Genomic DNA, 21,815 nt, shown 5'->3' with positions numbered 1-21,815 from the left:
ACATGGCATTTGGTTGGCAATTTACCCTCAAATGGTTCAGGAGAAAGTTCTGTTACTGTACTTCTAATTTTTATTTAGGTCTGTGATTGTTCCAAGTTTTTATAAATGATAAAATCTTTGGTATCAGAACCTCCCCCAAAACAATTTGCTATTCTCCCAATTTAAAGATAGTTTTGATAATTCGGATTGCTTTAACAATCTCTGAATTTTAATGGATATAATAGATTGCTACCACCCTAGAGAATTTCTATGTAATTCAATTATTTTTCTAGTTCACTTTATATCTTGCTGTGATGTATTTACACATTGTACCCTGGGACCTAAGGATAATATGGATAATCAATTGTTCAACAAAATGGAATGCAAGCCCTAAGACAGCATATACCATTCTTATATATGGTTTAAAATATGCTTATTTAATTCCATGTTAGAGTAAAATCAGATAAAATTACAATTATATTCATGTATTCTCCAGAAGTTAACTAAGCCCTAAAGTGATTAGCCACAAAGAAATTTTAATTAGTTTGATGAAATCAGCCTTATAAGCAGCTGGAAATTTGGAGATCCCAGAAAATGATGTTATTTAATCTTAAAAAAAAATCCCAAGGAATTAAAATGCTTTTTCTGAGAGGAGCAGAGGAGTAACTCCCTGCCAGAACAACACAACTTGTATGCAACCGTGTTCCTCCACAGTTATCTCTGTTTTAATGTGCGTGTGGGGTTCCCGGATTACAAAGCGGCTGAGGTAGGCACAATACTGTTATGTGAATAATGGTATTAAGACAGACAATATGGATTATTGACATTATGTTTTACATAATGCCATATAAAACAAGGGGCCTTGCATAGCAAATCTCTGCTGAAAAGGCTCAACCTTATCACATTACCATGGATCAGTGTGAATTCCTTTTTTAAAGCAGAGTTCTGACCAGGGTTGGGAGCCAAGTTCTTTTCTAACTGTGTTTATGCAAAGACTTCATTTCAGATACCTTGGGCTGGAGCAGCATGTAAATTGTCAGTAAAAAATATTGCTAGCCTGAAGCTACCAATAGAGCCAGTTGTACAGCCAAATGTGCAGATTTGGCAAACCAGCTGTCTTCCCTGCTCAAGGAATTTTCGTGTTGTGCTCCTGCTAAGCAAATCAAACAAGCATTACTTCAGTGGCTTTTATATTGCAATGAAACCTGAGGCTTTGTGGAAATTTAAACAAAGGTTACTCAATATTTTCTCTCTTCTTTTAATGATCATTTCTTCACTTGTTTCTTACATACAAGTTTCAAATGTTGAGAATGTCTAAAGGACAAAATGTAATCCTACATTTTGGCATTTTCAACTACTATAAAGATAGAGAGAGAGGTAGGGAATGAGGCAGAAAGAAAGATGAGCTGGTTCTAAGAACACAATGTCCTTTCTTTTGTTTCTAAAATGATAGATCCATGAAGGCAGCTATTTCTGCTATTTAATTTACTATCATGGCACTCATCAGTGCATGGAAAAATGCCTGGTGGATTTCTGAATTTAAAAGTATTTACTTCTAGGGTAGAGAAAAGTGACTTACATTAAGTTCTTATCATGGGTTTAAGTCATTATTCTTAATTTGGAAGGAGTTTAATCCTGAGAGGATGAAACCTCCTAAAATGAAAAAGAAAGGCTATCATTACTAATTTCTCAAGAACATGGCTTTCTAGTGGAGTCCCCAGTCAGATCAGAAGACAGTCCAGACCAAATGTTTCTTTGAGCATTATTCATTCTTCATTTAACAAATTTGTAGTGTATATCTAGTATGTGTCAAACACTGTAACACATGCTGTAGATATAAACACAAATGGACAACTTCTCTACCTTAGGATGTTTAGTGAGGGTGAAAGATTCTGCAGTACAATGTGATAAGTACTATGAAATGGACACCACAAAGGTGTGGTTTTTGACCCAAATGATGTTAGTATTCATAAATAATAAGAATAAAGTAACATAAGAAAGTCTAATAAGAAAGACAGCCAGATAAGAAGTCTGAATAGTTATGTTGCCCTCAGTATAAAAGCCCTCACGTGTGTTTTGCAAGCAATGGGAGAGCTTCTGTCTTTATTTGTATCATTTCCCCTGAGCTTTCTGTCTACTTAGTAAGCCTATTTAGAAGGTCTTTGGTTTCTGCCCACTTGAAATCATACTAACAAAACCTTGTCATTTTAAAATTACCATTCCACAAGCTACTTTTTATTAGGCATTGTGCTAAGTCTTTTGCATTATCTCATTTATCTTTTAAAATATGCTGCAAGTAAACTATGCATCTGCCAAAGTTCTAATATCCAGCATCTATAAGGAGCTTAACAAATTTACAAGAAAAAAACAAACTATTACATTAAAAAGTGGGCAAAGGACATGAACAGACACTTTTCAAAAGACAACATACATGTGGCCAACAAGCATATGAAAAAAGCTCAACATCACTGATCATTAGAGAAATACAAATCAAAACCACAATGAGATACCATCTCACACCAGTCAGAATGGCTATTATTAAAAAGTCAAAATATAACAGATGCTGGTGAGGTTGCAAAGAAAAAAAGAATTCTTATACACTGTTGGCAAGAGTATAAATTAGTTCAACCTTTGTGGAAAACAATATGGCAATTCCTCAAAGAGCTAAAAGCAGAACTACCATTCAACCCAGTAATCCCAATACTGGCTATATATCCAAAGGAATATAAATTATTCCATCATAAAGACACATGCATATGTATGTTCATTGTAGCACTATTCACAATAGCAAAGACACAGAATCAACCTAAATGACCACGAATAGTAGACTGGAGAAAGAAAATTTGGTACATACACACCATGGAATACTATGCATCCATAAAAAAGAACAAGATCATGTCCTTTGCAGGAACATGAATGGAGCTGGAGGCCATTATCCTAACTAACACAGAAACAGAATACCAAATACCGCATGTTCACGCTTATAAATGGGAACTAAATGATGAGAACACATGGGCACATTGAGGAGAACAACACACACTGAGGCCTAGGTACAAGGAGGGAGAGGATCAGGAAAGATAACCAATAAATACTTGGCTTAATATCTGGGTGACAAAATAATCTGCACAACAAACCCCTGTGGCACAAATTTACCTATGTAACAAAGCTGTATATGTACCCCTGCACTTAAAAGTTAAAAAAAATTAAAAAATAGTATGCTGCAAGTTAGATATTTCTACTCTTGCTACACAGAAGATGAAATTGGAATTTAGAATGCTTAAAAATTCAACTTTTCACATCTAGTAAGAGTCAGAGGCAGGACTACACTGCGCCCTATGACCTTCAAAAATCAAGTAATACTTTAAAAAAAAAAAAAAAAGATCCGCTTCATGGTCATTCTCGCTCAGAGCTGTGAAACTTGTCAGAATTAAAATGGAGTCACTTGGGTCAAATCCTGACAAAATGGTGTCTAAGAAGGCCATGAAGGGAGGGTTCTCACACATGATTGCCTGATAACAAGAGCTATCATGAAAGATTCTGCCAAAACCACGACTGTGCACAAGGCCACTGCAAACCGACATAAAAAATACTTCTGCAAGGACATCTGCCCAGCAACTGCCTGTCCTGCCTTAGACTGAGGCAATCCTGGTTATTCATGCTTGTAGCCAGGGATAACTATTTCAGAAACACTTATGTGGCCCTCATCATTTTACCTTTAAAAATCCTTATCTTCTTTTGCCTCCCTGAAAACACCCATGCGTATTCCTATTGCAATGCTCGTTCCTGAATAAACTTATTTTTGAAGAATCTCCTTCTGTTTGTTATTTTGATTGCCATAACCAAAAACTGTCATATATTTAGATGTTATGCATCCTAGGCAGTTTACTTACTGTGCCACTGCCCCTATAGACAATCATCACTGTGATTTTAGTCAGAGCTTCTGTTTTAGTGAACTTAAGAATCACTGAAAAACACATTAAAATGCAAACTTCTGAGCTGCAGTTTAAGGTACTAAATAAAAATTTCAGGAAGAACAATTCGTATAATTCCATTTTTATCCAGACAACATGTAATTCTAATTCAATTGTTCTGTGGACCACTTGTTGAGCCACATCGATTCAATTATCTCATTATGACACTTGGAATCACTCAGATTATGGGATAAGTCTGATACATGGACTAAAATGCTCTCAGTAGCCCTGGGCTAGAGACCTTACAATCAACTTTAAAATCAGACTTTACAGGACTCTTAATTTGTTATTTCAACATATATTTACAGAACACCTATTCTGAGCCAAATGCTGGCAATAGGAATTAAAGTGGGAAGCAGCTTAGACAAAGTATCTGCTCACAGAGAGCTTACATTTTAGTCATAAAATAAATAAATAAATAAATAAATAAATAGACATATGTAAAGTGAGGAAGTGTTAGGTGACTTTCAGGCACAAAAGTAAATAAAACTGGGTAAAATGATAGAGAAAGCTTTAGAAATGGGGCTACTTTTGACTGAGTTATTAGAGAAGATTTCTCAGAAGTGGTATTTTAGTTGAAATCTTTGAGATAAGGAGAGGCCAACCAAGAAAAGGCCATAAAGAAGGGCAAAGAGAAGAGTTATCCCGTGGGCACCTCGGTGGGAAACAAGCTTGGCATGTGTGGGAAGCTGAGAGAAGGTAGTGAGGCAGGATGTAGTCAGTGAGGGTAACAGGGACACTAAAAAATGTTAGAGGGAGAGGCTGAAGGAAAATTATGCAGCATTGGATTGCCAGTAATCAAGGTGTAATGGAGACCACCGGAGTTTTTAAAGCGAGGTAGCAAGAGAGCTTGCTATACAATCCTTCAGAATAACAAGAGCAAAAGAATTTATTGCATTGGTTGAAACTGTGTGTAATTCATCAACTAAGAGGAGATCATGGGTTGATTTTTCTTCATGTCTTCTTTAGAGGCTAATTTATTCCAGTTTCTCTTATTAATGATGTGAGACACTTACCTTCATATATTGGTCCCTATCTTGTTCAAATCCAGCTAGATTTTCGATCTCACCTGCTTAGAATTTTAGGGCTTTCATGCTGTCTACGCATTTCAGGAGTTCATAGGTTGCAATAGTGTTAATTCTTTCTGAGGAGTTAACACAGAAAATCTGGTAGCTTGCTCCTTGCATGTCGCCATTGGAACCTAGAACCATAATTAACCATGGCAAAACCCTGGGAAGATAGTATGTGGAAGATTCTTTATGTTAATGATTTATGATTTTGCTGTATATATCTGAAGCAATAGACCATGCCATACTAACTCGACAGAATTGCTTTGCACAAACATCAAAATTGATGACATGAACCTGATTTTATTATTGGAGTCCTGAGTTTCAGTCGCCCTCTCTGGTGGCACAGAAGAGTGTACTAATGTGACCAGCCTCCGTGAACATTTCAGGCCCTGACACTTCACTGGGCTTCCCTGGGCAGAGACATTCCAGGGAATCTTCCCATGGCTGTTGGAGAAAAAGCCTGTTCTGTGTGGCCTGAGATGAAGAAGGACTCTAAACCTATTCCCAACATCTATGGAATCTGCCTGATGCATATGTTTTCCCTACCATTGTTACTCCGTATAATTTGTTATAATAAACTTTAGCCATGAGAACAAACTGCTTTTGGGTATTCTGGGTCCTTCTAGCAAATAACTGAATTTGGATGGAGTGGGACTGTTGAAACACTGCCTAGCATTTGTTCCAGCTGATGGAAAAATTGTAGTACTATTTGTGTTTGTTGATTAGGCTTGTTTCTTCTTTGATAACTTCACTGCTTTCTTTTTTATTCTTCCTGATAATTTATTACTAGGGTCAAGTTTTATATACAGTAGTGTCCCCTTATTCATAGTTTCACTTTCTGCAGTTTCAGTTACCTGCAGTCAGCCATGGTCTAAAAATATTAAATAGAAAATTTCAAATATAAACTATTTAAAAGATTTAAATTGTGTGCCATTTTGAGTAGCATGATGAAATCTCCAACCATCCAGGTCCTTCTGCCTGGGATTTGAATCCTCCCTTTGTCCAGCACATCCCCACTGTATACTCTACCTGACACTGGAGAGTTAGTAGCTGTGTCAGTTATCAGACTGACTGTCTCATTATCACAGTGCTTGTGTTCAAGTAACTCTTATTTGACTTAATAATGGCCCCAAAGTGCAAGAGTTGTAATGCTGTCAATTTGAATATGCCAAATAGAATCCTTAAAGTGCTTCCTTAAAGTAAAAAGGTAAAAATTCTTGACAAGAAAAAAAATCGTATGCTACAGTTGCTAAGATGTATGTGAAGAAAAAATCTATCCAAGAAAATATAAAGAAGAAGAAAAAATAGTGCATAGTATATACAGTGTTTAATACTATATCCAGTATATACAGTGTTTAATACTATATCCAGTATATACAGTGTTTAATACTATATCCAGTATATACAGTGTTTAATACTATATCCAGTATATACAGTGTTTAATACTATATCCAGTTTATACAGTGTTTAATACTATATCCAGTATATACAGTGTTTAATACTATATCCAGTATATACAGTGTTTAATACTATATCCAGTATATACAGTGTTTAATACTATATCCAGTATATACAGTGTTTAATACTATATCCAGTATATACAGTGTTTAATACTATATCCAGTTTATACAGTGTTTAATACTGTATCCAGTTTATACAGTGTTTAATACTGTATCCAGTATATACAGTGTTTAATACTGTATCCAGTTTATACAGTGTTTAATACTATATCCAGTTTATACAGTGTTTAATACTATATCCATTTTATACAGTGTTTAATACTATATCCAGTATATACAGTGTTTAATACTATATCCAGTATATACAGTGTTTAATACTATATCCAGTTTATACAGTGTTTAATACTATATCCAGTATATACAGTGTTTAATACTATATCCAGTATATACAGTGTTTAATACTATATCCAGTATATACAGTGTTTAATACTATATCCAGTATATACAGTGTTTAATACTATATCCAGTATATACAGTGTTTAATACTATATCCAGTTTATACAGTGTTTAATACTGTATCCAGTTTATACAGTGTTTAATACTGTATCCAGTATATACAGTGTTTAATACTGTATCCAGTTTATACAGTGTTTAATACTATATCCAGTTTATACAGTGTTTAATACTATATCCATTTTATACAGTGTTTAATACTATATCCAGTATATACAGTGTTTAATACTATATCCAGTTTATACAGTGTTTAATACTATATCCAGTTTATACAGTGTTTAATACTATATCCAGTATATACAGTGTTTAATACTATATCCATTTTATACAGTGTTTAATACTATATCCAGTATATACAGTGTTTAATACTATATCCAGTTTATACAGTGTTTAATACTATATCCAGTTTATACAGTGTTTAATACTATATCCAGTATATACAGTGTTTAATACTATATCCATTTTATACAGTGTTTAATACTATATCCAGTATATACAGTGTTTAATACTATATCCAGTTTATACAGTGTTTAATACTATATCCAGTTTATACAGTGTTTAATACTATATCCATTTTATACAGTGTTTAATACTGTATCCAGTATATACAGTGTTTAATACTGTATCCAGTATATACAGTGTTTAATACTGTATCCAGTTTATACAGTGTTTAATACTGTATCCAGTATATACAGTGTTTAATACTATATCCAGTTTTAGGCACCCTCTGGGGGTCTTAGCACATAACCATTGCAGGAAAGAGGGGACTGCTGTATAGGTACATGAAGGAGATACAAAAACACATGGACATTAGATGGCTTTATGTTTATTTGTACATATACATTTATATATACATGCATTTATATATTATATATAGTGTATATATCACAATATAATACATATATAATTGATACACATACATTTATGCATATATGTAAATTTAAGTATACATCATATAAGAAGAATATGGCTGGCCTTTGCCCCTGGTTCCTGAAGGCGAGACTCTGAATCCTTGAAATTTCCCAAGTGATAGGAGTTTCTTTGTTATTCATGTGTGCCTTGGATCACACTTGAGTTTATGCAAAGCAGATGATTCAGGTTAGGGACTGGTTACCAAAAAAAGGCAACCATGTGATTAGAGAGGCTTTGAGCTTGGGAAGCTAGAAGTGGCTAGAGATTTGGTTCAATCCACTTGCCTATGTAATGAAAACCCAGTAAAAACCCTGGACACCAAAGCTTACTGGAACTTCATGGCTGATGAACACACTGACGTCCTGAGTGGGTGATGTGCTCTGATCCCATGAGAAAAGTGCATAGAAGTTCTGAATATTTGACACTCGAAGACCTCATCTATGTGTCTCTCCCTCTAGCTAGTCCTACATTGTATCCTTTAAAATAAAACTGTAATTATGACACCTTCCTGAATACTGTGAGTCATTCTAGCATTAAAGTATTAAATAGTATTAAAGCTGGGGGAGGGGACATGGGAACATCCCAGTTTTGTAGCCAGTTGATCAAAAGTACAGGTAGCCTGGGGACCCTCTAACTTGCTGTTCACATCTGAAGTGAGGGCAGTCTCGTTGGGGATCGTGTCTTTTAATCTATGGGGAGTCTAACACTAACTCCAGGTGGTTAGCTTCAAAATTGAGTTACAATATTTTAGTATACAAATGTAAAGAGTGAAGGTCAGTATATTAATCAGTGTTCTTCAGGGAAACGTAACCAATGGGATAACAGAAATATAAGAGGAGATTTATTATGAGAATTGGCTCACAACGGTTATGGAGTCCAGGAAATTTTAAGATATGCTGTCTCTATGCTGGAAAACCAGGAAAGCCAATAGTGTAATTCAGCCAAAGTCCAAAGGTTTGAGAGTTAAGGGAGCTAATGGTGTAACTGCCTGTCCAAGGCCAAAAGCCTGAGAACCAGGGAGGAGCAGTAGGGGATGGATGAGAGGCAGCTCTGGGGTGAGTCTCTGAGTTCAAAGGCCCAAGAACCAGGGGCTCTGATGTCCAAGGGCAGGAGAACATGGCTATCCCAACTCAAGAAGAGAGAGAAATAATTGGCCCTTCCTCTACCTTTTTGTTCCATTTGGACCCTCGATGGATAAGATGATGGCTGCCCACATTGGTGAGGGAGAACTGTGTTTACTCAGTCTACTGAGTAAAATACTGATCTTCTCTGGAAACACCCTCACACACACACCCAAAAATAACATTTTATCAGCTATCTGGGCATTCCTTTTCTTAGTTAAGTTGACATATAAAATTATCATCACAATCTGGCAACATGCAAGACACATATCATTCTAAGAGAATGCCTTGTTGATAATGTCCAATATTTCATTTAATTTTAACTTATCCAAGGTCCTTCAAGAACAATATACAAGGAGGCCCAGATTGGCTCTGTCCATGGTAGAGAATTTTAGCCAGTGACTTTCATTTTGCATTTGATTTTAACTTCTAAGTAATTTTGTTTCTCACTAAATGATACATATATAAGATGTCAAAGAAAGTGGTGGGTGTATAGTTGGTGTTCAATTCATGATGGCTTTCTTTTTACCCAACTCTTTATGTAGCTCAAAGTATTTCTTACTGGGACACATTCTTAGAAGGCCAATCCTTTGATGACTAAGAATAATTTCTCCCTTTAATATTTGCTCTGAAAATATAATCCCTTCAGTGTCAGACCACAACCAGGCCAATAGAGTTGCTATATCCATAGACACATGAATAATAAATAAATAGATTTTTCTGCTTTCCCATTTATGTTCTCACTCTCATCCCCACAGCCCTATGTCCAAGGGAAAATAAAGGCTTTTCTGGCATTGGGGTAAAGAATCTTAGAAGTTATTTTATAAAACCATTAACGCTTCACCAAAAATGAAAAAATAGGTGTTAGATACATGGGTTTTGGCAGGAAGAAGGCATTTGGGATTAACAGACATGAACAGGAGTAGGTTGGTAAATTATGACCAATATCTGGGGGAAGGATTTTACCCATTATTTGGGAATGGTTCTCTTTGTATTAGAAGACAGTTCTTCCATGAACAAAAATTGGTTTCTTTGGAATTCTCCTTTCCCTAACTTTTTTCTCCTTTGGTGTTTCTACTCATTTGCATGATTGGCCTAGAGAACAATTTATCATCCCTCTTTTACACATTTGATTTTCTAAAGGTCACCTGGCAAGTCAGGGATGACATTGGGATAGTCTCTTGGGTAGCTTCTAATAATTGCACTTCCTCCCCAATGCTTTGGGTGTCTGGCACACTTGTAATTGACAGAAGGACAACAATGCAATCTGGCTGGTTTCCAAGACCGCTCTCAAAAGAGAGTGTGATGGTGTGAGGTGGCTGAACTGCCCATATCCATTTCTCCACCGTCAGAATGGCAGGCTGAGAGAGCAGGAAGAAAATACAAAATTCAAAATAAAGAAATTCTCTCACTGGGTCATTGTTTGTCTCTTTAATTAAAATAAAATGCTTATAACTAACTATGAAGCTTGATACACAAGCTGTGAATAAGGATAGAAATATACATGCTGCTTAAACTCTCTCCAGCTATCTTTAGAAATGCACAACCTGTTCCTGTCTTTGACATTCTGTCCTTTCACAAGCACTTTGTGCACAGAGAGCTCAGCTCAGAGATAAAAGCTATGGGAGGGTGCACTGATGTCTGAGTGATGTTTAACCATGCCGGTCCAGGTACAGTGCCTGTCTCCGGAATGATGCAGGGATCCCAAAGTGGAGAGAATTAGACCTATCGCATTTGTGATTAGAGTGGGCAAGTAAGTATCAATGATCTCCTCTCTTCAAATGTGGACAGAATAAGAAAAGTGCTGTTTCTTCAGAAGCAGGGGTCAGCCAGGTAATTTACTAACAGACAAAGAAAATGCAAACATTGTCTTTGTATATCCTTTGACCATCTTGTATCGGCCTACTTAAAAAAAAAAAAAACCTTTTTGTTCTAATAACAAGGATTTTTGTTGGTTCATGTAAATGCAAGGTGTTCTGTGGTGGTGGTGGTTGTCATGAAAAAATATTGTACTTCTGAAACAATTAGAACAGCTAATTAAACAGTGTAGATCTGAACAGTTAGAGACTTTACAAATGCTGAAACTTTAGGTAAAAGATGAGTACATAAATTTGATTAACTGAACTTCTTTGAAATTTGATTGCAAAGTACTTTTGTATTTTAACTGTTGTCCTAAATGTTGTACATTAGGGGTGGCTCCAATTCTCCACCCCTCCTGGTATGCATGCTGGGACATATGTCCTTTGCCTTGTGCCCTTGCAGTGACTCTGATTTGAACGATGTAACTCACATTGGCCAATAGAATAAGACCAGAGTGAATATATGCCTGATCTGTGCCTAGACCTCAAGAGCTGTCTTGTGTTTCTGTTGTGATCTTATGTTTTAGCTACCACCAGGAGAAGGACATTTCTCAGGCTAGCCCATTGGTTCCAGGAGATTAATGAGAGACGAATCGGAGTTGTCTCACATAGCTACCCCAGCCAAGCCAAATCTAACAAGAGACCTCAGCTGACCTGCAATTGCGTGAACTCTAACAAGAAATAGTTGTGTAAAGCCCCTGATTTTGGGGACGGTTTGCTCTGCAGCGGTAACTAAATGACTCAGTAGCAGTAAGTCTGGTGTGTTGCACTGTTCTTGATTTACCAAAGACAAAATGGAGATCCTTAATGGAAAAAATGGCTTATTCAAAATCACACTCAAATCACCATTACATCAGGCCTCAAACCCATCTCTTGATTTCCAAACCCATGTTCCTTAACTCCAAGAAGCCCTTCTGGAAACTGAGTATAATGATGAAAGTGTATTAAATGGCCGGGCACGGTGGCTGAAGCTTGTAATCCCAGCACTTTGGGAGGCCAAGGCAGGTGGATCACGAGGTCGGGAGTTTGAGACCAGCCTGGCCAACACAGTGAAACCCCGTCTCTACTAAAAATACAACAATTAGCTGGGCATGGTGGCAGGTGCCTGTAATCCCAGCTATTCGGGAGGCTGAGGCAGGAGAATCACTTGAACCCAGAGGTGGAGGTTGCAGTGAGCTGAGATAGTGCCACTGCACTCCAGCCTGGGTGACAGAGCTAGACTCAGTCTTCAGAAAAAAAAAGAAAGAAAGAAAGAAAGAAAGAAAGCATATTAAACCTCAGACAGAAAATCTATTTTTGTGATCCAGCCCATTCTTCAGCTTCAGCCATCTTGCTCGTGGGTTAAAGCCATGTGATCGATGCTGTAGGAAGCCAACTCCCACAATCTTTATCAGGGATAGTGCCCCGTTCTCTGTGACGACATGCAAGTCTTGCTCACAGCGTAATACACAAGAATCGACTGGAGCCCAAAATTTGGAAAATGTCTGAAAAAGAAATGAATCATGGAAGGGTGATGAAGGGTTTCAACATTACTTTTTGTTTTTACCCAAATTCAACACTTTCCTGAGCTGAGATCAAGGGTTATTAAACCTTGAGCTAATTCTTAGACATAGTAGAAAAAAAATGTAAAAAAATATTAAAAAGAAAAAAGTTATCAAACTTGAATGGAGATAGACAGGTTGGCCTCCTATTTAGTATGCTCCTCTTCACTGCCTGGGGCTTGAGAAGTTGCACACAGCTGGAAACGTTAATTAAGTCTGCCCTTGTAAGAAACTCCTCAAGGCCCTCTTGCAATGCCACATACAAAGGTTTTATAAGTGACAACCAAAAATATAGAGTTGGGGCAAACTGAGGTGGCCTAATTTTATACATGGAAGAAAACCATCAGAATTCAACTTCTCCTTGGACACCATTTATGTTTGGAAGGGGAGATGTTTTATTTATATTTATCTTATTTTATTTTTGCTTTTTTAAGTGCATTTGTAAAAGCAAACTCTGTTACTTCTTTCCTGCTGAGGACTTTGGGGACACATTTAGAGGCTGAAACCAATAGAGCTACTTTAGCATCTTGTAATATATTTTGCAGATTCAGCTAATTGAGAAGGCCTCAGAGGAAGGCTTTTGATAATTGGGCTTCCAAAGTTGTGCACACACACTGGTAGGTAATATTCGTGCACATAAATTTTACAATAAAAAACTCATTGCTCTCATGTGTTAACTACCACCTACGTGCTGATGACTCGACTTTTTAAATCTAACAGAGGCCTGTCCCTGAGTCTCAGACTTCAATATTCAACTGCCTTTTGGAGATCTGCATGTGATTGCCCCCAGGCACCTTGAAATTAACATAGGGAAATCTAAATGTATCATCTTCCCCTGTCACTTTTTCTTCCTGGATTCCCTGTCTCAGTTAATGGCCTCACCATCCACCTTGTCACCTAAGCCATCATCCTAAGTATCATCCCTTGACTCATCTTATTTCTGCATTCTTCACCCTCTGCTGGCATAAAGCCCTGTCAATTTTACCCCACAAATACTTATGAAATCTGTCTCCTCATTTATAATTCCTGGCTTCCTGATATGTCTCAGCTGAAAATTTGCAACTCCAGTCTTACACCTCTCAAATCTTACTTTAAATGAAAGCAAACCAGGTAGCTATCATAACTAAATGGCTTCCAGTAGGCTACTTACAAAAATTCAAGCTCCTTAGCCTGGCCTTATAGGTCTGCGTAAGGTGGTCATTAGTGCTCTCTCAAGTCCATGTACACAGAAAGGACTCCAGAGGCTGATTGTCTGGGTTCCTCTCCCAGCTTCACTACATCTTGGTTGTGTAATCTTGAGCAAATTTCTCAACACCTGTTTGTCTCAGTTGCCCCTTCTGTAAAATGGAGTTATAATACAACTTATATCAAAAGGTTGTTATGAGCATTACTGGAGTTAATATAGTCAATAAGTCAGAGTATCAGAGTATTTCTTGATAGATTATAAGCACGCTGTAAACGTTTCTCAGTCCTCAACTTTCTACTTCAGATTATTCAGGTCTACCTGTCATTTCCTGAATGCACCACTTGCTTCCTAGGTTCATGTCTTTCTTTAAGCTGTTTTGTTTTTTTGTATCAAAATTCTTCTTTCTTTGCCTGGGTACCTCCAATTTATCCTTCATTTGTTCATTGGGGTTACCAAGTCAAATTTTCATGCCTTCGTTCATTCAATAAACTGTAGCTTATTGAATACTGACTCTGTATTTTGCAAAGGGCACGCAAAGGTGGCCATAAACAATCATGCCCTGACTTCGAGGAACTTGTGGGAAGAGGGGGTGGAGAGATAGATAAACACAAAGTCACTTAATTAGGAAGAATGTGTGTTGTGATGAAGAAAAGCCTAGAGAATATAGGAATATACTGGAAAGGCACTGACACAGTTTGGAGGAGGTATTTCAGGTATCCTCTCCTCCAGGAAATTGTCCCTAATGCTCAGACAAGGTTAGGTTTTCCTTCCCTGTGCTCTCAAGGCTCACCTGGTGTATGAGTCAGCTTACGTTGCTATAACAAAATGCCATAGACTGGGTGGTTTAAACAACAGACATTTATTTATCATAGTTCTGGAGCCTGGGAAGACCAAGATCAAGGCTCTGGTCAATTCAGTCCCTAGGGAGAGCACTCTCCCTGGCTTGCAGATGGCCAAGCTGTTTCTCACTATGTCCTCACATGGAAGATCAATCTTTCTGTCTTCATCTTACAAAGCCACTTAACTTACCATGAGGGCTCCACCCTCCTGACTTCATCTAACCCTCATCTCCAAATACCATTACATTGGGTGTTAGGACTTCAACATATGAATTCTGAGGGCAACACAATTCAGTCCATAGCACCTGGCTAGGATTTCCTGAAAAACATATCTTAAGTTATTGCAATTATCTGTTTCTTTTTCCACTTCTCCTTTTAGACTACAAGTAACTTGAAGACAGGCACTGCATCTTTAATCTCCGTGGCTCCAGAGCCAGATGCTCTTGTAGACACAAAGCAGTTGTGCAGCCAGTATTTGTTGAACCAGAATGCAGTGTTCAGGTGCTCATTCAGGGTGATGCTATTATTGGCAAAATTTTGTTTTATATTTTAAGCTAAAATATATAATATTTGAGTATGCCTTAGAAACATCATAACGTGGATGCCTTAGAAAAATGTATTGTATTCTTGAAATGACTTTGGGAAAATCATTTTCTCCTATTGAGCCTCAGTTTTCTTATTTACAAAAATTAGAATCTTTGAACAAAAGACTAAAGTCCCTTTTACTTCTCTCATTCTGTGATTCTACCCTCTGGCCACACTCTTGGCCTCTTGTGATAAATATCTTTTCTTTTCTTGGTGTTCTTTCTGAGGGTTTTCTTCCTCCCTCTGTCACTTCCCTTCCTCAGTCTCCTTTGATGATTTCTTTGCAGCCCTCTCCCATCAGTAACGTAGAGAGTTCCAACTCCCTGTCACTTCTCTAACCACCTTTATTCCTTGAAACCACGAGGGGAAACTAGGAGTAGAGGGCAGATCTTCCCCTACTGCCTGTTTTTGTAAAGAGAGTTGTGTTAGAACACAGCCACACCCATTCATTTACTATTATCTATGGTTACTTTCAAGCTACAATGGCATAGTTGAGTAGTTTCAATGGAGACAATATGGCCCTCAGAGCCTAAAATATTTACTATCTGGACTTTACAGAATAAGTTTGCCAACCTCTGCCCTAGGAGATTTCATCCTGTCCCATGGTTTTAACATCTATAGTCTGATGATTCATAAGTTTGTATCATTGACCTTGACTTCTCTCCTGAGTTCCACTTTGGTGTATACAACTGACTACTCCATGTTGCCATTGATATTTAGTAGGCATCTCGAAATAGTGTTGTGGTTGAGATGATGACTTTGGAGCTAGATGCATGGCTTTAAAACCTGCCGTTTTAAGTACTAGCAGCATGGCCTTAGCAACTCACTAATTTCCCTGTACCTCATGTTTCTCGTGTGTACAATGAGGATGTTAATAATAGTGACACTTCATGAGGTTGTCATGACGACTTGTCAATATATAGAGAGCCCTTAAAGCCCTGTTTCATTGTGGAATCATATTTTAGTTGCTATCACCAACTATCTCTTTGTCTCATACTCCATACAGATTATTGGCAAGTTCTTGCAAGCCTATCTTTAAAATATTCATTACTCAGCATCTACATTGTTAGTATCCTTTACCAAGCTACCATGGTTTATCACCTATACTACTGGCTGTCCTAATTGTTCTTTCCGCTTCATTTTTACACCACCTCTGTGTTACTCAGTTCTTCACCCAGCAGCCACAGCAATCTCTCAAATATCTAATTATATCACATTACCCCCTGCCCAAAATTATCCAGTCTCTTCCCAACACACTTAGAATAAAATCCAAGCACCTCACCATTGACCTACAAAGCCCTGTGTGTCCAGTCTCCACATTGCTTTCATGACATTTCCTCTTAACACTCATCCTCATCATTGTTTTTCCCACTTACCCTGCCTTCTTGGTCCTCTCCAAGCACAAAAAGCTTGGCCCTGTCTCAGAGCCCTTGGATTTGATGTCCCCTCTCTTGAAAATGGTTTTCCTGTAGATACCCACATAATTCTTTCCCTGTTTAGTTCAGCCCTTCACCTAAATGCCACATTCTCGGGGCATTCCTTCCTGCTTACTGTGTTTAAAATTGGCTTTCTATCATTCTCAGTTCTCATAGCCTGATTTTTTTGTGTCTTTATAGCATTTATCACTGATTGTCATTGTATTACTTATTTATCGAATTATTCGTTTGGTGTGTTTATTGTGTAAGCTCCAAGAAGAAAGTAATTGTGCTTTTCGGTCATTACTGTATTCTTGGTGGCTAGATAAAGACATGTCTTTTGTGGGCAAGAAATAAATATGTATTAAGTGAATAACCACCTCTTTGTTAAAGATTCAAGATTGTCTAAAGGGGAAAGGTTATGGAAAAGCCACAAGACCCATCCAATGAGACCTGCCTCTATTTGTCCAGACTCATTTTGTTGGTGCTTATGATTCTGTTCTTTCTTTCACTCATAGTTTGAGTCAAATGGAATTTCTGCCAGCTTGTCATTTGTTGCATAAGCCTTATACTTTCACTTCTCTCCAGTGCTGGTCATGCTGATCCTTTCACATAGACAATTTGTAAAAGCTTCCTTATCCCTTCACTTCTTGAAAACTCCTAGTTAATCTACAAAGACCTATTTAAGCATAACCTGCTCTGTTAAATCTTCTCTCAATACCTCTTACTTCTACTTCCTGATTAGATAAAAATGTTTGCAACTAGATACTCAGTCTGATAGCTTCCCTTGAAATAAAGAGCAGTCATATAAAACAGGCCTGGCCAATGAGAAGTGTCATAGTCTGAATTTCTTTAGAAAGTAGAGCCCGAGAAAAGGATTTGTGTGCAGAAAACATTCTTGGGAAGAAATCTCAGAGATCATAAATAAGTTCTCACTCACACAGTTCTTTTTCTAAGAAAGAAACAGAAAATTATGGAACCTGCAAATTGTGAATTTTTAAAATCATCATCATTGTTGGCAAGTGGGGTCCCATTACACTGGTATTATTTGAGGGACTGTATAGACAAAGCCTCACTATCATCTGCCCAAGAAATGAAAAGGTCGAGAATTTACTTATTGGCTTCTCTTCTCCACTGGCCAAGGACTGTTCTCATAGGTTGTTAATTTTTCATAGCTCCAGTTTGTCCATAAGTGGCAGATTTCCACAGGTTTCCTATAAGCTGTGTTCATGATGCCTGGGCAGAAACTGTTAGATACACAATGAAGCTAAATGGGCTGCTATTCGGTCACAACTTCATGACACTGGTTGCCCCAGTATTGACTAAAAAGACTTGGGAAGGGAAACATATCCACTACATGATGTAAGTGAAAGGTCTGCTGGGATTTTTGAGAAAATTCTTGCTTTCTTGATAAAGGGAAAAGATCCATTTGTTTCTACTTCATTTCCTCTGTCTTCTCTCTGCCTTCAATGTGGATATGATTTCTAGTAGCCATCTTGAAATTCAGAGGAGCTAAGTCTTAGGAAAAGGCCAAGAGAAAAGTGGAGGCATCATTTCTGGCAGCACTAAGCTATTGAACTGGTCCTTAATTACTATATCTCCAATTCTTACATAAGAAAAAAAAAATCTGTTTAACTAAGTCAGTGTAGTTTGACTTTTGTGTTACTTGCAGCTAAATGCATTTCAAATTCCTTCCTCCAATCTCATATAGCAAGTTTTTTTTGCATTATTATCTTAGCTACATTGCATTACATAGTAATTCTTTTAAAAATATAATTACCTTCATATGTATAAAAATAACTTCATTACCTTTGTATCCCCATCTCACAGGTACTTTGTACACGGTAGACAAAATAAAAGTTCAATAATGTACAATGGCTGAAAACGTTTCCTATTCCAAAGGATACCTAATTTGAATAGAATGAACTTACTACAAATAAGAACACTTCCTGATCTTGTATGGGTTTCCCATAGCAACCAACTCAGTGACATCACAGAAACTCAGTAAATATTTCAGTATGAGAAAGAGGTATGGGAACAATTTGCAAGGACTGAAAGGATCATTTCATTAATGCTAACCATCTCTCCACTTTATAAATAATTCGAACAAATTCAGATCTAATATATGTACATCTTTTAAAACCTTGGATCGTTTATGGATTTAAAAGCATTATACTGCAATAGGGAAGCTTTAACATCTCTACAAGATGACAAAAAGAATAAACAGTTTTACACCAGCTGCCTTGACAACTACTTTCTCTGAAAAGATTATTTTAGACCCCCAGACAAAATATTAAGCTTTAATCAGTGCTGGCCTAACACTGAATATTTTGTTGTTTTGTTTCCTCCATCTGTTTGTTATTATATGCACTATATTTTGCTGAAATTGAGACTATAAAACGACAAAAAGAAAATCTTTGTTTTTGTGGTTAAAGAATTCTTCAAAAAAATGTCTTACAGTTCAAAATGACAATTCACTATACAGGAAGGACTTACTTGCCCTAGTAAAGCCAATTTTTAGACATGACTCTAATCTTTCTTTCATCTCATCTTGCCATTTCTGAAACATGCCTGGAATAAAACTGAAAATGTGATTCCTCAGGGCTCAGATCAAGAGCCTAAGAGCAAATACTTTGTGATTCTACCTCAGGAGGAACTAATACACACTCGTGTTGTGTGTCTATGAAAATTATTGCAAGGAATCTATCACCACGACATTTTCCTTTGGAAATAAATCCAAACTCCTAGGTGTATATTTCCACATGATAGTTTTTTCTTTCTTTGATTTCAAAAGTAATACATTTTATTATGAAAAAGTAGTTAACATAATTATGCACAACTAACAACAAAATATCCCTATAACATTGCCTCCAAAGGATGGCCACAATTAGCATTTCAGTGTATTTCCTTATAGTATTTTTTCTCTGCATACATAATAATATATAGATTTTTCATCTTGTAATACAAAAGTGTTATCCAAATAGTATTCTATTAGATCTACTGTTTAATAAGCTACTTTTTAAACCTAACCATGTGTTGTGAACATTTTTCATGATATGACATATTTTTGCAAGATAATTATAGTATCTGCATAGCAGTCTGCTGTTTAGCTGTACCATAAATAATTTCATCTGTTAGATATATAGGTTACTTCAATTCTTGTTGCCAGGTTGGGCATAGTGAATATATGTTGCTTTTATTTTCTCCTCATCATCATTCCTTTTGGGGGTACTAACTACTCCCTTGCTTCTGAAGAGATATCAATCACAGTCCATTGGCCACTTCTGGCTACAAAGTCTTTGGCTTAGCTAATATCTCATCCCCTGGGAAAAGTGATTGGTCTAAAGTTAAGAAGATAACTCACAGAGGTGAAATTAGCATCTTTCCTGAGATTGATATGTAGATGATGGCAGCAGGTGAGAGGGAATACACTTTTTTCTTAATGTTGTATTCTAATTTGTGATGATTTGAGCCAGGAGTTCTCAGAAGCTTTCTTCCAGATTTTCTTAAAAGAAATGTACTAATAGTTGGGGAAAATAAGGATAAGACACTGTGGAGAGAAAGGCTGAGAAGTTTAGGAAGAGAAAAAGAATGCTGATTTTCTGGATCAAGCTGTGCCTGAAGTTCTGTGTACTGAATTTCTCAGTTCCGTTCGCCAATATACTCTTTGATTTTTTGTTGTCATTTTGTTGCTTAAAGTAGTCTGGTCGATACTTCTGATAATATCTAAGTAGCAAAATACATTAATCTGCTAGTTTTTCAAGAACAAAAAAGATTGTTATCTCTTTTTTTGGCATTGTTGTTTTGATGCACAATTAGTAACTACAATTTTTGACACTATGATGTTCTGAATTAAACCTGGGAAATACCTAGTTCATGAGTTGTATTTTTCTTATATTTACTTATTAAAATGGAAAAGGTTTTACGCCTACAGACCGTCATTTTAAGAGCCTGTTTAGTTCCTTAGGATGAGCCCAGCACATGGCTAGTGTACAATAGAAATGTAATGAGTTGATGAACAAATGATTGAATTTGCTGCATGAGGATCCCCAAGAGTTTCTTCTTGAAGGTTCATTGATTCCCTCAAGTTATGATCAAATACTATATCAAACATTGTGAAATACACACTGTTCTCTTTGGTGCTTCAATTTTATGTAGCAGTAAGAAACTTCATTGTATTCATTGCAATTTTTCAACATGAAATGTAAGCTGAGCTTCAGACACATGAATTTTGCTCCCAAGGAAAGTGCTATAAAGTCCCACTGAGATTTGAACACAGACGATGAAACTGCTTGCTAGGTTTTTGATTTGGAATTTCAGCTATCTATGGAAGTCCTGACAGTTTGATGAAAGCACAGTTTGAAAGAGTTAGAAAGATTTTCAGCATCTTTTTTGACCGAAGGGATGATATTTAACATCTAAAGGTGGCACTTCTGGCCCCCCAAAAAAGGCATGTTCTATTTTGCTTCTCTATTGACAAGCAGTGCTTGTCATATTTTTTTCTTTTCTCCATCATACTGGGAACTCTCATGAGAGTGTTCAGCTTCTGGCTGAGTTTAGTATGAGGCAAAGAAGAAAAAAAGCACAAAATATTTAGTTTTAGTCATAATGTTTAGGTTTATTGCAACATCAGAATCGACAGAGTCACAACAAGTAATTGAGGCAGGTGTCAAAAACGGAGAGTAAACAAATGGCCAAAACAAGGAAGCTGGCAGGTATAATAAACTATTATAATGGACTATTCTACCTTTTTTTTTGCACACTGACCAACATATCTGTCAACTAAACCCATATTTTATTCCTTGCAATTAGTTTATTTGGGTATATTTCTCTCTTTCTGATGTTCTTCCTTTTTTCTGATGTTCCACTATCAGTTAGTTACACTGAGTTAAATATGCCTTTGTGATAACACCCCACTTGCAGGCTGCTATATGCGTAGGCCTGGAGAGTGCCTATGCTAAAAAGAAAACCCAACTCTAAAAAAGCTCCATTCAGCAAAGGCCAAGCAGGTGTCTACAACCTCAGAGGAAGATCATCCTTCAGCAGGGTGTGTTGTCTCCAATGGCATTGGCTAAGTGGGAACCACGGAATTCTTCTTTCTGGCAAGGGCCTTCTTCATCCCTTTTCCCCCTCAATACTAGAAGCCTCTTTATTCCATCTGCCTTGAGACCACTGGAGCTAGTCATCATGCCCCTTTCCCTGTTTAGGCTGAATGTCACAAGGTGTCCAGGTGCTTCATATTGTTGCTCATCCTCCAGATCCCCACCCCTAATTCCCATTGCCTTTTCTGACCCTTATCTCTCCCTCCCCATCTTTAATAACCTTTCATGGGGCCATATGGAGCTCTATGTCAATTCTCAGTCA

General features: G+C 37.1%; 1 long non-coding RNA gene across 3 annotated transcripts; it reads right to left on the bottom strand.

The window, feature by feature from the left end:
* Positions 1-9,523: 9,523 nt before the first annotated feature.
* Positions 9,524-18,383, bottom strand: LOC107986057 (uncharacterized). Of its 3 annotated transcripts, none has more exons than XR_001740582.2 (3): positions 18,261-18,383; positions 13,577-13,763; positions 9,524-10,387 (listed from the first exon to the last, which is right to left on the bottom strand). It is a non-coding gene; the product is annotated as an uncharacterized LOC107986057 (long non-coding RNA). The 3 variants fall into 3 exon arrangements; XR_001740583.1 differs by lacking the exon at positions 9,524-10,387 and adding an exon at positions 12,168-12,369 and having other exon boundaries at positions 18,232-18,383; XR_001740581.1 differs by lacking the exon at positions 9,524-10,387 and adding an exon at positions 12,168-12,369.
* Positions 18,384-21,815: the final 3,432 nt, after the last annotated feature.

Source organism: Homo sapiens, chromosome 3, assembly GCF_000001405.40.
Source record: "Homo sapiens chromosome 3, GRCh38.p14 Primary Assembly".
In the NCBI taxonomy this organism is placed as follows: Eukaryota; Metazoa; Chordata; class Mammalia; order Primates; family Hominidae; genus Homo; species Homo sapiens.
This window is presented reverse-complemented; position numbering and strand designations above follow the sequence as displayed.